The sequence below is a fragment of the Homo sapiens genome, chromosome 6 (assembly GCF_000001405.40).
Source record: "Homo sapiens chromosome 6, GRCh38.p14 Primary Assembly".
NCBI lineage: Eukaryota > Metazoa > Chordata > Mammalia > Primates > Hominidae > Homo > Homo sapiens.
Window position 1 is genome coordinate 26,737,925 of NC_000006.12, and position 16,827 is coordinate 26,754,751.

At 41.3% G+C, this 16,827-nt stretch overlaps 1 non-coding gene and 1 pseudogene across 1 annotated transcript; one reads left to right on the plus strand and one right to left on the minus strand.

Moving 5' to 3' along the window:
• Positions 1 to 5,338: 5,338 nt before the first annotated feature.
• On the plus strand, positions 5,339 to 5,411 carry TRM-CAT4-2 (tRNA-Met (anticodon CAT) 4-2). Its single transcript has one exon. It is a non-coding gene; the product is annotated as a tRNA-Met (tRNA).
• On the minus strand, positions 11,275 to 11,348 carry TRUND-NNN1-1 (tRNA-undetermined (NNN) 1-1; annotated as a pseudogene).

A 16,827-nucleotide genomic window follows, 5' to 3' on the forward strand; every position in this document is an offset into this window, starting at 1 on the left:
ATGATGTACTCTCCTGTACCCCCTTCTTTATGACTGCTTTTCCAGCCACTGCAAAACTCAAAGCTTCCTTTTGCTTCTTTTTCCTTAGTTACGTTCATCCTTCCACATAGCCCACTGGGACTGGCTCAAAGTTGACCTCATGCTAGTGCTCCCTCTCTCCTGATTCCCACACCTGTCTTGTGGGAAAGGCCTACATCTGGTTGTCCCTGAAAAGCCCTGGGACTACAGGCCAATCCCAATATAGAAGGAACTTCAGGCAGTCAATCTGCCCATTTCTCCCCTTTACATTTCTCATGCATCTAACTACCGTATCTCCCATATTTTGGTGCCAGTGATTGAACTTGTTGGCACCTGTATTAGTCCATTGTCACACTGCTATAAAGAACTACTGGAGACTGGGTAATTTATGAAGAAAAGAGGTTTCATTGACCCACAGTGCCACAGGCTGTATAGGAAGCATGGCTGGGAGGCCTCAAGAAACTTACAATCATGGCGGAAGGCGAAGGAGAAGCAAGCATGCCTTACCATGGCAGAGTCGGAGAGAAAGAGCAAAGGGGAAAGTGTTACACACTTTTCAACAACCAGATCTCAGGAGAACTCACTCATTGTCATGAGAACAGCATGAGGGAAATCTGTCTGGAACAGGTTTGTGAACCCATTGAGGTGTTCATCCAGTGCTGTTTCAGAGAAATCTCTATTTCAATCTATTCCTATACATTAGTTACTGAAAAACAACAGACAATCACAAAAACAAGTTGACCTTTTTGTGATCCTTGAGCCCAGTTGCGAAGGGCCCTCGTGACCGGGCCTCATGCCAAACAACTCGTTACAAAAAGAGCTAGGGTTCCAGACTGGGCTGAAGCTTCATGAGACTTCTCCTCGTCTGTGCGCAGACAGCTGGCCAACTCTGGAGCCCAGGCTGTTGCTTCCCGGTCTGTTGGTGAATCCTCCATAGTCTGGTGAGTGTGTATATACATATATATGTATATACTTTGAGAGGCCGAAGTGGGCAGATTACTTGAGGTCAGTAGTTTGAGACCAACCTGGACAGCGTAGCGAAACCCAGTATCCACTAAAAATTCAAATATTAGCCAGGCATGGTGGCATGCACCTGTAGTCCCAGCTACTTGGGAGGCTGAGGCAGGAGAATAGCTTGAATCCAGGAGGTGGAGGTTGCAGTGAGCCGAGACCACGCCACTGCACTCCAGACTGGGAAACAGAGCAAGACTCCGTCTCAAAAATAAATAAATAAATAAATAACGTTTTTTAAATTTAAGAATAGATGTTTGAGGAATCTTCTCAAAGAGGAAAAAAAGAGGACCTGCCTTATATTGGGGATTGTTTCATTATGGGACACCTTTAGAAGCAGCCTGGAGTGCAGCCTGGAGTGCATATAAATATATGTCTTTTTCCTTCCCGTTGCAATTTGCTTATTATATCAGTCTGCTTATTATTTCAATTTGCTTACTATATCATTTGCTTATTATATCTGCATTGCCATTTACGTGGGATAAAGGTTGTTTACCCTTAAAGGTATTGTGTGTGTGTCTTTTCTTCTCCCCTTACACGTCTTCCACACAGAACATGTACACTTGTATCTACAGGTGCATGTGTGTGTATGTAGACGTGATTGCACACATGTTTATGTATACATGTCTGTGTACACCACATGCATGTGTAAATGTATGTGTGTACACGTGTATGCATGTGTGTATGCATACAGGCATGTACACATATGCACAAAGGTATCTACACATACATGTGTATACATGCATGCATGTTTATGTATACATGCATGTACACCGTATGTATGTGTGTATGTATGTGTGTATTTGCTGACACATATGCATATGCATACATGCAAGTACATGCATGTACACACGTAGCTGCACATTCATATGTGTATGTATACATGTATATACACGTGCGTGCATGTGTGAGTGTATAAAGATATGTACACATGCATGTGCAAATGCATGTGGGTGTGTGTGCATGGATGTATGTGTATCCATGTATCGTGTACACAGTATGCATGCATGTATTTGTGTAGATATATGTGCAGATAGACATGTGCTCACATGTCTGCATGCATGTGTGTACATGTGTGTTTACCCACCTACGTGTGTATGCACATGTGTACTCATGCATGCACACACGTATGCATACATGTATGCATTGTGCACATGTGTGCACATATGTTTTTATGAATAATGTATATATACATACACGTATACACCATGTATACCAGCCTACAAATGCATCTGTGCACACACGTGAAAGCATGTGTATGCCTGAATACAAGTGTCCATATTTACGTGTGCACATCCACACATACATGTCTACACACACACGTGTGTGCACACATGCATGTGCACACACAAAAATTTGTGTGCAAATACATGCATGCACACACATACATGCATGACATATATGTGTACATGGATATGTGGGTATACCTGCATGTGCATACACACGTGCACTTGCATACACAGATGCACCCATAATACATGTATATATACATACATGTTTACACACAAAAGCACGATGCATACATGTACTCAAACATATATCTGCATGCGCACGTACTTGTGCATACAAATGCACATGTCTACCCACACATGCATTCAGACGTCTGTGCACATGTATACATACACTTATACGTACAAACATACAAACACATATACACTCATACATGTGTGCACACTCACATATGTACACACATGCATGTGTACAAATACATGTGTGCGTCTGCATGCATTTGGGCATATTCATTGATTGTGTACACAGTATGTATGTGTCCATGTATGTGTGTATACGCATATGTGTAGATGCATATGTGTACATTAACATGCATGTACACTCATGTAAACATGCATCAACACATTTGTACACGTATTTATTCGTGTATCAGGTTTGTATACACGTACCTAAACATGCATGCGAGCATTCGTGCATGTATGTACACGAGAATGCATATGTGTATGCATACGTGTATGTACACATATAAGCACAGGCATCTACACGTGTGCGTGCGCACCTATGTGCACACTTATGTATACATGTATGTGCACGTGCATAAATGAATTAAGAAAGAAACAATTCACCCAAACAAGGAGGAAAAGATGAACATCTCAAGTACCTATGAGCATTTTTACATGCAGACCCCTTACTGACATTGGCCAAGACAGATGACAAGAGATCATCAAGGAGAGAGTTCATTAGAAGAAGATACTGCTAACATTAGAGAAACATAGCATCAATCACCCATAGCATGGATGCTGTTGAGCTTCCACCTGAAAAACAAACAACAACAACAACAAACCTGGCGGGTAGAAATAGGAACAGGTTTAGCATACATCCCTTCCTCCTTTTCCTGGGATCTGCATTGGGCCCCGTAAGCTTGGCATGAACCTAAGTGAATAAGACACCAAAGGACTGAAGTTTACCACTACCTTCAGAATTAGGACTCAGAGCCAGGAATTTCTTTAGACTACACAACCAGTCTATGCATATGGGAGGTTTTGGACTGTAGTTCACACTGGCTGCGCTTCCTTATGGAAACAGTGACTACAAGATGGAGGATATTAATGAAAGATAGCACACATCCATACTAAATGTCATAACAGCAAAAACCATAAGATAGTTACTGACAATGAGTCATGCAATTCCGAGGGAAAAACTAGTATGCTACATTCCTCCATGCTACATTCTTTCAAATAAGAATGAAAGAATCAAGAATGGGCCTTGAAGAATGAAGATGAGGAGAAATAATGGGTGTGTGGACCGCGCATTGGAGTGGGAATTCCTAGGTAAGGAAAGGTATATGGTCTGTTCAATTAAGGGACTCTAAAATACTTGTTAAAAAAAAAAAAAAAGGAAGTAGTGCTTTCCAGTAACAAAGTCTACTGCAAATCTGAAGGTGGAAATTTAAACAACTTTGAGCCTGTTACGGTGGAATTTTGTCCTGCCCCACCCGTTACCAAATTCATGTCGAAACCCTAAATCCCAATAGGCGTTCTTATAAGAAAAGATGGAAATATGTGTAGAGAGAGAGAGACCATGCAAGAATACAGCAAGAAGGTAAGTGACCATCTGCGAGCCAAGGAGAGAGGCCTCAGGAGAAACCAAAGCTAACAACTCTTCTAGCATCCAGAACTGAGAAAATTTTCTGTTGGTTAAGCCACTCAGTCTGTGATATTTATTATGGCAGCCCTAGCAAACTAGTACAGAGCGGAAGAGTTACAGTATCAAAATAAAATATTTAGGAAAATGCATTTATAAGAATCCGGAAGTTTGAGAGTATAGGAACTGGACCAGATAGGACAGTTTGTCCTGTCAGCTCCTGAGGTCAGGGATGGCTCAATTTCTTCTGAATCCTCAAAGCCTTCGGGTAGGACAGTACCTGAAATGGAATGTGTCCTCGAGAATTATGTGGTGGGTCTGGGCACCGCACTTCGAGAACTAATGATTTAAGGTGTTTGTAGGGATGTGAGGGATAAAGGGCCAAGGATGCCTTGGAAATCTAGAACATAAATGTCGGGTACATGGCAAGTGGTGAATTAAAGTTTGTTGAATGGACCAACGAATCTAAAATTCTATAGCTATTTGCTTAACAAATGAGTGTGGTGGTGTGGAGAGGAAAAGGGGAGATTACATGATCTAGAGGGAGAAAGAGGGCAGCACGCTTTTTGGAAAACAAAATCTGCTTTCAAGATCTGGTTTTACCCCTTATCAGCTGTGGATTTAGTTCTGCTGAGCCTCAGTTTCATCAGTAAGATGGGGATAATGATGTATAGATTTATGGCAAATAAATAAATAAATAAATAAATAGGACTAAATGAAATTATGGGAATAAAGTATTTAATAGAGTATTTGCAACATAGAGGTGAAGAAAACATGAAGACTCATCATAAAATCAGTTGGTGATATTTTGAGGGGACTATCTCAGGTGACATAAGTGGAAATGCAAATTTAAATTAAGAGAGGTAAGTGTAAACTGCAGGCATGTTTGGGAGCTTTTCATTCATTCAACTAGCATTTAGTGAAAGCCCGCTATTCCAACTAAGGAGACTGTGGACAGTAATTATTGCCTTATATCTCTGAGGGGACGAAGATCCAGATCAATAGAGAATGAGGTCAGGCATAATTGTTCAGTACACTATGGCTTCCGATTGTGAGGTTCTTCCGATGGGCTAAAAAGGAGCCTACGCGTGCCTATTGGAAATAATCTTGGAGAACTAGCGACCCTGGGCGAAGAAAACTGAAGTCCCAAAATAGCCCACCTGGGGAAAGAAATTAGGAAATTCCTGTGGAAGCTGGCGCGGCATTATACTTCGTCGCCCTCTTAGCGCAGCGGGCAGCGCGTCAGTCTCATAATCTGAAGGTCCTGAGTTCGAGCCTCAGAGAGGGCAGCTTTTGCAAGGAAAGCTTACCTTCCTGGTACTTGTTATAGCTGTAATCCACACTCCCTTTACAGCTAGGGTATAATTCCTTCTTTTCTAAAATATCAAGCATGTGGAATTGTGTCCGGCCCAGAGCTTTCCCACAGTAGCTGTCTAGGGGTGCGCTTTCGACACGCGCTCCCGGCTCCGCGCAGTGGCTGTTTCTGGATGAGTCTGGAGACTCCGCCTGCAGTCCTGTGCTGGCTCCACCTTGGCAGGGGTGGAGCTCAGGAATGTTGAGTGGTCCCGAAAATCCAGGTGGAACACAAGACTTCTAGTCCGGAAAAAAACCCCACATGCCTCAAATAGCCAATAGCGTGGTGGGGGGCTGGGGTTAGCGGAATTTGTAACCCGCTCACTTGGGAGGCAGCGGCCTGCAGGATCCACGTCTGCATTCTCCAGCTTTGTTCCTTTCTTCCCTCTGGGTGGGCTACCTTCGCTTCCCAGTTGATCACCTCAGAGCTGTACGCCTGGGTGTAGATGTCGAATACATTGATCTTATTTTTATCTGTTTTTATTTTTATGGTACACAGACGACAGGGAATCATTGGGCATCTTTGAAGTATAATAAATCGGATCTATTTTTCCCCAAATGGTTCCCATGGCAGGGGCTGGCGATACCTTGACCGACATCCAACAGACTGTATGTAGTCGATGAGGGAAAACCAAGGAGCGACGAGGGACAGGAACTCCGAGCAGGTGCTCAAAGAAAATCTGTGCTGTGCTGGGCTGGGGTGGTCACTTTCTTCTCAGAGATGCAGAGTGCTACACGGCGAGTGGGAGGGTGGGCTCCCACTCCCTGTTACAGGAGCCGAGGGAAGTTAATTTTATGACAAGAAGACCTCTCGGCTTCTTGTAACTGGGGATTCAACCTCGGAAAAAAGGAAAGCCGATGACGCGAACCTAGAGAAGCTAAAAAGAGAAGCTAGAAGCAGGAACGAGAGACTTTTGGGGAACAGATCCGGGCTTGGAGAGGAAATCGCAAAGCGTCAGTCAGCCGAAGGAAGGTTCTGATACCCAGCGGAATTTATAGAAAATAAATTCAGAAACAGAGAAAGAAGGAGAGTGGTGGGCAGTCTGTCCTTAACGAGGAGTTATATCCGCCTGTCAGGGATCCCATCGTCCCTGGTCCTGAATCTTATTGGCGTTTAATCTGTAACGCCAGTCCTGAACGACAGTCTCAGAAATCCTTCAAACTCATGTGCCACACACAGAAACCGAGATACTTTTTTCTCTTTTGTTATAGAGGCTCCTTGAGAGAGAAATGAATATACAAAAATGTCTCAGCAGAAAGTACTGAAAAGCAATCTGTGGGGAAAAGAAAGAGAGATCAGACTGTTACTGTGTCTATGTCGGAAGAAGTAGACAAAGAGACTCCATTTTGTTCTGTACTAAGAAAAATTCTTTTGCCTTGAGATGCTGTTAATCTGTAACCCTACCCCCAACCCTGTGCTCGCAGAAACATGTGCTGTGTCGACTCAAGGTTTAATGGATTTAGGGATATGCAGGATGTGTTTGTTAAACAAATGCTTGAAGGCAGCATGCTTGTTAAAACTCATCACCACTCCCTAATCTCAAGTACCCAGGGACACAAAACACTGTGGAAGGCCGCAGGGACCTCTGCCTAGGAAAGCCAGGTATTGTCCAAGATTTCTCCCCATGTACTATTCTGAAATATGGCCTGGTGGGAAGGGAAAGACCTGACCGTCCCCCAGCCGGACAGCCGTAAAGGGTCTGTGCTGAGGAGGATTAGTAAAAGAGGAAGTCCTCTTTGCAGTTGAGATAAGAGGAAGGCATCTGTCTCCTGCTCCTCCCTGGGCAATGGAATGTCTTGGTGTAAAACCCGATTGTATATTCTATCTACTGAGATAGGAGAAAACCGCCTTACGGCTGGAGGTGAGACATGCTGCCTGCAATACTGCTCTTTAATGCACTGAGATGTTTATGTATGTGCACATCAAAGCACAGCACTTTTTTCTTAACCTTGTATATGATACAGAGACATTTGTTCACATGTTTTCCTGCTGACCCTTTCCCCACCACTACCCTGTTGTCCTGCCACATCCCCCTCTCCGAGATGGTAGAGATAATGATCAATAAATACTGAGGGAACTCAGAGACCCGGGCTGCGCGGGTCCTCCGTAAGCTGAACACCGGTCCCCTGGGCCCACTTTTCTTTCTCTATACTTTGTCTCTGTCTCTTTTCTCAGTCTCTCGTCCCACCCGACGAGAAACGCCCACAGGTGTGGAGGGACAGGCCACCCTTTCACGATCCCACCCCATCCATTCTCAGAGCCTGAAATCAAGCTAGTCAGAGGAAGGGATTTACAGAGCGGGACTGCATTGTGGGACAATCCCTGCATTTTGGCTCTCCCTCACACCCTCTTCAGATTGGGCCCAAGCCTCACATTCTGAGGATGATACTCAGGACATGAGGGCGCCCTGAAAAAGGGCTGATCCCTCCGCAAACTCAGAGTGAGGCACACAGCCTGGAGGAAATGAGAAAATTATCACAAGTCTTTCAGATTCACAAATGCCATGTTCCCTTTGTTTTAAGGCCACGAAGGTCAAGTAAGGACCCAAATAACTACCAAACATCTCAGAGAACGCTTTGGGTAAGAGTGCGGAGACAATTGCCTTGTTCCCATTACAGTTTGCAGTTATTAATTTCATGGAAGAGAGCACGTCACACCGGGGGCAAGACACAGTAGGAACTGCCAGATTAAGTAGCACAGATATCCCGGAAAGTTTTGCGGCTCTTGTATTTTAAGGAAGTTATGATTACTGACTGACTGTTGATGAGTCAACAGTTGATGAGGAGGAGGTTTTGGGGCTGGCCATTCCAGGCTCCATGTTCACACCACGGCACCACCATTCCTAGGGTGTCTAGACATGTATAAGTGCAAAAACCGTGTATGTAGAGAAAATGATTTATTTAAATGTCACAGCACTTGTAAGTTTAAAAATTTCAATAAACACTTTTTGTTTTTGAGACTGCAGTGGTGTGATCTTGCTTCACTGTAACCTCCACCTTCCAGGTTCAAGCGATTCTCCTGCCTCAGCCTCCCGGGTAGCTGGGATTACAGGCGTGCACTACCACATCCAGCTAATTTTGTATTTTTAGTAGAGACGGGGTTTCGCCATGTTGGCCAGGCTGGTCTCAAACTCCTGGCCTCCAGTGATTCGCCCCGCCCCCGCCTCGGCCTCCCACCGAGCCTGGCCTAATAAGCACTTTTTTTAAGTTTTATCATTTTAATTAAATATTTCAGGCTTTAAATAGGAAAGGGAATGAGATAATTTTTGTTCGTTTTTCCAGGTTGCTGAACAAAATAATTACCAGAAAGAAATCAACATTTAGCTTTAATTTTTGATGCTACAAGACCCCTCTGGAGACAGTGTTCACGCAGTATCTGGAGAGTGTTGTTTAGGCTCCTGCTTCCTCACGCAGTCCCCTCCAACAATGCTGTTGGTCCATTGTGCTTCCCACTGTCCTTAGTCCATCTCATCCATGAATAGGCCATCAGCTCCCCCAGACCAGCAGCGGTGGGCTTTCCTTTGAAATCTGGAGGGTCTGGAGGGCTGCGCAAACTTCCCTTGACTTAGTTATCTCAGAGCATTGTGATGGAAAAGAAACATCCCATGCAAGTGGACAGCACTAGGTTGTGAACTGGAAGGAAGGTGGGAAAGGAGAGATACCCATTACGCATTTCACTTTCTTGAACTCAGCAGCAGAGAGAATGATGAAATCAATAGCTTGAGAGAACTAGGAAATTTTAGGGCCATGTTTGCATGTGTGTATGTACCTATTGTTAACAAATTGGTAATAGATCATAAATATGATCTAATATTAACTTTTTTTCTGATTGTCACCCATACAAAAAAAATTTCTCTTAATGGCTGATTATAAATAATAAAGTAAAATCTACAGATTTTTATGTTTTTTAAGACTCTTTTCATCCATAAAAGGTCCCTGGTCTTTCTTTTATGGATATTATTTTTTAAAATTGATAGACATTATTTTTTAGAGAAGTTCTGGGTTTAAAGAAAAATTGATCAGAATAGATAGAATTTCCATAAACTCCATCACTCTCCCTCTCTTACAATTTTCCCTATTATTAACATCTTGCATCAGCGTGGTGCATTTGTTACAACTGGTAAACCAGTAATTATCAATACATTATTGTTAACTAAAGTCCACAGTTTACATTACAGTTTGCTCTTTGTGTTATACATCCTGGGTTTTTTTTTTTTAAACAAATGTATAATGACATATATTTACCATTATAGTATCATAAAGAGTTAATGCCAGTTAGTTGTTGAAGGAACTGGGCCTTTTATCCTTAGAAACACCTCTATGTTGTATTTATTTCATTGTATCTATTTCCTGCCCCTTGACATGTTTCTTCATCTACTCTATTTCTTGTAAACTGGTAGTTACAAGTAGAGGCTCACTTAGATTCAGCTTCAAATCTTTTAAGAAGACAATTTGATAGGTGGGCTTGTGCACTTTCCATTGCTTCGCTTTATGAGGTACATAATGTCTGGTTCTCCAACTTTTAGTCACCAATATTAGCACTAATGTGTGTTTCAGCTGCCATTCATAAATACATGTATATATAACTCGTATACTTATGTGAATATATATATTTATATGTTGATAAAATGATACACAAAAATTAGAAAATAACATTGAATGAACATAAAAGTAAACAAGAAGAGATTAACTCTCGAATGCACAGTTTAGAAAAGAATCAAAAGTATATCTTTGAGCTCCTTAGAATATAATGAAAATGGGGGCTTATAACGACATATTTCTAAGGATTCTGTAGAAACTGCTTTCTCATTTTAAATTACACCTTTTAATACCCAAGTTACAAAACATTAGAAGAAATCAGTGCATCAAATATAAGAAGTAAGAAAAAGAAGAAAAGAAGAAGCAGAAGCAGAAGAAGGAAAAGGATAAGAAGAAGAGGAAGAAGAAGAAGAAGAAGAAGAAGAAGAAGAAGAAGAAGAAGAGGAAGAAGAAGAAGAAGAAGAAGAAGAAGAAGAAGAAGAAGAAGAAGAAGAAGAAGAAGAAGAAGAAGAAGACGGTAGCCCAAAAGAAAACCAGAAAATAGAATGGTGAAGGAAACACAGGAATTAACTAGAAAATTGGAAAATCTGCTTGGTCATTTGAAAACAAATGGAAAATTGTCAGTCAAATGTCAATGATAATAATAATAATAAGGGGCTATGGAGAAAGCACAAAGGAAAACCAAAAAACATTAGTGAATGCTATTGTTAAGATTTTAGAAATGTGGCAGGTAATTTTTTTAAGTATTGCTTTGTGTTTGATCTCCGTTTCCTTATACTACTCACCTCATCTGTTCAAGGCAGTAACCGTATTTTATAGAACCTTAACTCTACACATGGTGATGAAGTGAGTTAAACACAGTCTACATAGACAGTGTTTCGGTACTCAGGAAGCTCCCATTCTAGGGGAGAGAAAAACAAACCAATAATTCAAAGACATACTTTCCGGAGGAGACGATATTTGTGAAGATGTAATAGGAACTGAGAGATCGTGTGGGCATCACTTTTAGCTGTACTTGTCTAAAGACGGGAAATTTGCACTGACACCTGAGTACCTAGAAGTGCCAAACCTGTGGCAGGAGTGGAAAAGAAGGAAGGATGGAAGCAGGGGCAACAAGACTCTTACACGGGGATCAATAAAACACGGGCTCTAGGGAGGCGGCAGTTTCCTCTGATCTTCTCCCAGGTAAGAGGCACCGATGTCATCAACAGGAGAAACAACGGGGAATACAAACTAAGAGACATAAACCAGACAAGAAACTGGAGAATGCGGGCGTCGATCTCGCTACCTCTCGCATAGCTAAGCGAGCGCTCCACCGCCTGAGCTAATTCCCCAGAGGAGAAACTTTTCACCCCACCCATTTTCCTGGTTATTAGGAGCATGCCGGTGCTTTGTGTCGCCAAACCCCTGGCAGGACCAGATTGAGGGCCGAGCTTCTCAGATACTGCCTTCAGCAAAGTTCTATGAGCCTGCCAGTGCGAAGAATAGGGATTTCCAAAGAAGGTCATGAGGGAGACCTCTCTCCTCACTTCCCAATTTCGCCTTCTTCATCTCTCGGAATCAGAGAGCACATTCTGGATGGAGAAGCACCACCCGGAACTGCCTGGCTTGGGGGCACAGCTATTCCAGCACGCTCTAGAGTTGTGATCGTCACCTGCTCCTTGCCGCCACCGCCGCCCGGAAGTGGTGGGGCAGCTTCTCCCAGCCCCAGAGCTTCACGGCATAGCCGCATCTTCAATAGCACTTTCCTCCTGTAGGACTCAGAAAGTGATGGAGAACCTTGGAGGAGTTGAGAAAGAGAAAGCTTGAGAATTTTCATCTCAATCTGTGGATTCATTCCTGAAGCACTTCTTCAGCACCAGGCACAGTGGATGAGGCCAATAATCCTCATAGATACTGCCACAACAATAACGAGTACTGTGCAACTGTCATCTAGGCCAGATACCATTGGTAGCCTAGGGATTAAAAGAAGCTGGAGAATGCAGGCGTCGATCCTGCTACCTCTTGCATGCTAAGCAGGCACCCTACCGCTTGAGCTAATCCCCCACACTACACTTGTCTTTTCTGCCAATTTTTATAACCGGGACACAAATATCGTCTTATGTCCCACTTAAGTTTCCAGGTTTTCGAACACCTCCGGAAACTTCCCTACCAAGGCGAAGCCAGGAGTGAAGCTTCTGGGAGACAGCCTCAGACCTGGAAGGCAGTGACCATCCTCTGCTTTTTCAATCTGAGTCCTGATCCTGAGAAAGAGAGAAAAGATCTCATTAGGAAAGCACTAGTTCTAATCTGATTTCACTCTCCCATTACATGAAAGAGAAGGAAGTACCGTCCCTAATTAGCAGTTACCTCAAATGCTCTGTTGAATGCATCACTTTTTAAGAACACAAACCTGGAAATAAACCCAAGTATCTTTTCACTGATTGATCCTTCAAGTAACTTATCTTTATCTAATATCTGTGTTACTAATTGTTTCTCCATTCAGGGGAGTTGAGATCTGTTGTTACCTATTAATCCTTGATAGATTTAATTTGCATTTTTGTACTGATTAATGTTGTTGAACATCTTTTAGTGTGCCTATTGGCCATATAAGCATCTTATATTGTGAAATGCCTGCTCAAGTTTTTTGCCCTTATCCTTACTGAGTGTTTGTATCACTGAGTTCTAAAATGTGTTCTATATTCTCCATAAAAGTCCTTTGTTATATGTGTATCCATAACACATATGTTGTATAACAACTATGTGTGCATATAACATATATTACATTTCTTTTCAAGTCTATGTCTTGCCTTTTCATTTTCTTAATATTGTCTTTCAAATAAAAACATTTTGATATTTTATAAAATCCAGTGTATCTTTTTTTGTAAGGGCTCATGCTTTTCTGGTCCCTTCTGAAAAAGCTTTGCCTACATCAAATATGTGTAGACTTCTTTTCTTCTTTTCTTCTACAAGTTTGATATCTTTAACGTTAAGCTTTTTGTATATAAACTATTTTGATTTAACTGTTGTACAGGATGTGAGTTAAGGGTAGGGAATCATTTTTTCCATACTCAGTTGCCTGGGACCATTTGTTTAAAAAAACATTTTACCTCTGTCATAAATCAGTTGACCACATACATTGGTCTATTTCTGGACTATCTATTCTATTCCATCAATCTGGGTAAGTATCCTTGAGACAATACCACATTATTTTGATTACCTTAGCTTTATAGTAAGTCTTGAAATTACTTGGTGTAAGTCCTCTAACTTTGTTTTTCTTTTCCTAATTATTTAGGTTACTCTAAGTCCTTCAGAATAAGCTTGTCAATTTCTGTAAAAACAAACAAACAAAACAAAACAAAAACTCCTGCTGGGATATTTGTTGGGATTGTACTAAATCTATAGATCAACTCAGAGAAAAAAAAAGTTATCTAAATAATATTAAATTTCTCAATCTGTAAATATGGCAAACACCACCAATTATTCAGGTTTTCCTGAGTTTTTCTCAGCAATCTTTAGTAGATTTCTAGGTACAAGTCTTGTGCACATTGACAAGTTTATCTCTAAATATTTCATTTGTTTTAAACCTATTGAAAGTGGTAATTTAATTTTCCATTTTTTTGATGCTAGTACATAGAAATACAATTAATTTTTGTATATTGTAATCTGTGACATAGCTGCATTTACTTATAATGCTTATTTTTGTAGATGCATTAGGATTTTTTGTGTATCTGATCATGTTGCTTGCAAACGAATATATTTTTCTTATTCTAAAGTGAGTATGCCATTTATTCTTCATTCATGCGTTCCTTACTTTCTGACACTAGCTAGGACTTTCAGTAAAATGTAGAAGTAGTAAGGACAGATATTTTGCACTTTTCTCCAATATTAAAGGGTACATATTTATTCTTCCACTATTAACTCTATTGCTAGTTGTAGGACTTTCTTAAACGCCCATTATTCATCTGAGGAATTTTCCTTCTATTCTTAGCTTACTGGGATATTTTTTAAACACCACGAATGAATGGCAAATTTGGTCCAATATTTCTTCTGCATCTAGTGAGATGATTACATGTATTTTTTGTTTTGTTAATGTGGTATATTACATTTAATTGACTTTTCAATGCCTAACTAATTTTTTATTCCCGAGGCAATCTCCCCTAACTCATGGTGCATTATGCTTTACAGATAATGCTGGATTCAATTTGTTAATATTTTAATTCAGTATCTGTTGGTAAATGTGTCAGAGAAGGGTCTCCAAGTGTGGAACGCGCCGCTTTCACAGCTCAGAGAAACATGGTGAGCACAGTGCTCCCTTCTAAGTGACGGGAGCTTCGAGATACAACAATGAGACTTTACTTTGGAGGAAATGTCTCAGAATTTCACAGATCCTAAAAACTTTCATTCACGAACCAGGTCGATGAATGGTTTCTGTGTTTCTCTCCCACCCTCTGGAGCATGCAGGGCTTAACAAAATCTGCAACTTACTTGACACTTCTTGCTCATCGAAGATTTAAATGATACTATCAATACAGTGTACCAATGTTTTGCTGTTGGTGCAGACAGTTCAATTCTCTTTGGACTAGATTAGGAAAAATTGGGGGACTTGATATACCTCTGGAGTAAGAACATAAATGCATACTTTTGTCTAGTCCATGTGAATATGAACTGTTTCTGTTCTTTCTTCCTGATAACAATAGAAAAAATGCATTCCCCAAATCAAAGACTGCATGCCAAAGACCATGTAATTTTTGCTTTTATGTTCATATTGTTTATAACATGATTACTTTATTAACTTTACATTCCAATTCTATTTTCTTATGTATTCAAGTGAAAAGTGTTAATTATGAGAAATTCTGCACTATGGCACTGCTAATATTGCAATCTATATCCCAGACTTCGTTTTACCGACAGAAGAAAGCATACCCTCATCAATTTGTCATGTCTTCGGAAGAAGGGACATGGGTTTGTAGTGGAATTCATGACTTTTTCTGCCTGAACATTAATTAGCAGAAGCATGTTCCATTTCTTTATATAGACCCACTCTTAGAACCAAGGTGAACTGAGTGAAAAAGATACTTGCCTTTATGTTTCTCTTATCAAACTAACCATTCTTGAATCTACCTTTATCACTTTTCTCCCAGGACCTCCTAGTGGAAGAAACTGTGAAAATGGCTGGTGTCACTTCAGACGCAAAAGGAAAAGTGGCACATCATGTTCAGAATCCGATTAAATAGTGTCAGCAATTATTACCTCTGCTTAAAGGATTCAGAGCTGAGTTTGTTCAGCTACCCTGCCCTGACTAATGGCATCATGCAGGTGTACTTAGAAGTAAATTTAAAACTCCCCGTTACTTTAGGATCACATATCTCCTAGGGTAATTGCAGGAGTGATTGGGAAAGAGCAGTCTACTCTGAGGAGGTCAGATGGAGACCAAGTGAATCCTGTAAAATACAAGTAATGTCATATGACAAAAACGCAAATCCAACACTACTAAGTCTTGGATTTCTTCTTTGTTTCCTTGATTAATTTTCTTGCTTCGCTCCAAAAATCATAGCATAAAGCAAATTATTGTTCTACCTATTGCTTTCCACTTTACTCATCTTTCATCTGGTGTCTGTGTGATTATGTCTCCATTAGAGACTGAGACCTGTTATTACCTATTAAATCCCTTCATTCCAGGATGTGGAACTAATTAGATAAGTTTCAGATTGTTGAATTTAGTGGTTATTTTAGAGGTAATTAGATCGTTAAATTTAACACTTGTAGCTCCACATGATGATGGAGTGCAAATATCTATTTATTCATAAATATCCATAGGCAGGGATCAGAACCAACATTGAGAAGACCCACTCCCTCCAAACAAGACGACCAAGAAAACAAATTGATTCTACTACCTTGGATTTATTAAACTTGCTGAGCAAAGAGCCGTACCTCTATGGAGTCCCAGTACTGCCTAAAACAAGGGTGAGTCAGAGACCAGAATTTAAAGGGTCTGGGGACTGGAGCTATTCATAGGACACTTTTAGGGGGAAAGTTAGTAAGGTCCTTCTGAGGAGGGACTAGACAATTTCTAAACTAGGCGAATCATAGGTTTATTCCGTGGAACTTAGCTGCTGGAACATGAAGATCTGCCCAGTTGCTGGATCCGTTTGGCTTTGGTCTTACCTTGGATCATCGGGTCTGAGTAAACTGATGTTAAAACAACTTGAGCTTAGTGTGGCATGGCAGGGTTTGTAGACTTGTCCTGTGCTGTAAGTCACAGGGCTTTTGCAACTTCTGTGTTTGTTCATTTCTCAATTTGTCCTTTTTCCTCACCAACAGGACTGCCCGAGTTCAACTTACAGTATAGCTACTGGAACTTAGCTCTGAAAAGGCCCTCTGCAAATCTAGAACACTCGTTTTTTTTTTTCCAAATAAGAAAGTTGAGGAGCAAAACGACGTGTCTAACGTCACACATTGAGCTAAAGACAGATGGGATCTGACATGCATTGTCAGCACAAATACAGCGCTTTTAAAAATCATACGGATTTTGTGTCGTGAGGCACTCAGGACTCAGCTGATCTCGGCGTTCAGTCGTGCGTGATTTTGGATTTGCACCTCGCCCTTGGGCAAGTGCAGAATCCTGGGGTTATACAAAGCACATCACAGTTAACCCCTTTGTCCCAGTCCGCAGAATGAGAGCTCGGAGCCCGGCCATGGGTGGCTCGGTTATATAGGCAGGAAAATCAAGGAACCCAGGTGTGAGCAGGGGCGTTTGTGGCGCGGAGAGAGCTCCTGTCCTTGCCGTCCACCTATTTCTCAGGCTTGGCCCCTGGCGTGTAGAAAACCGCA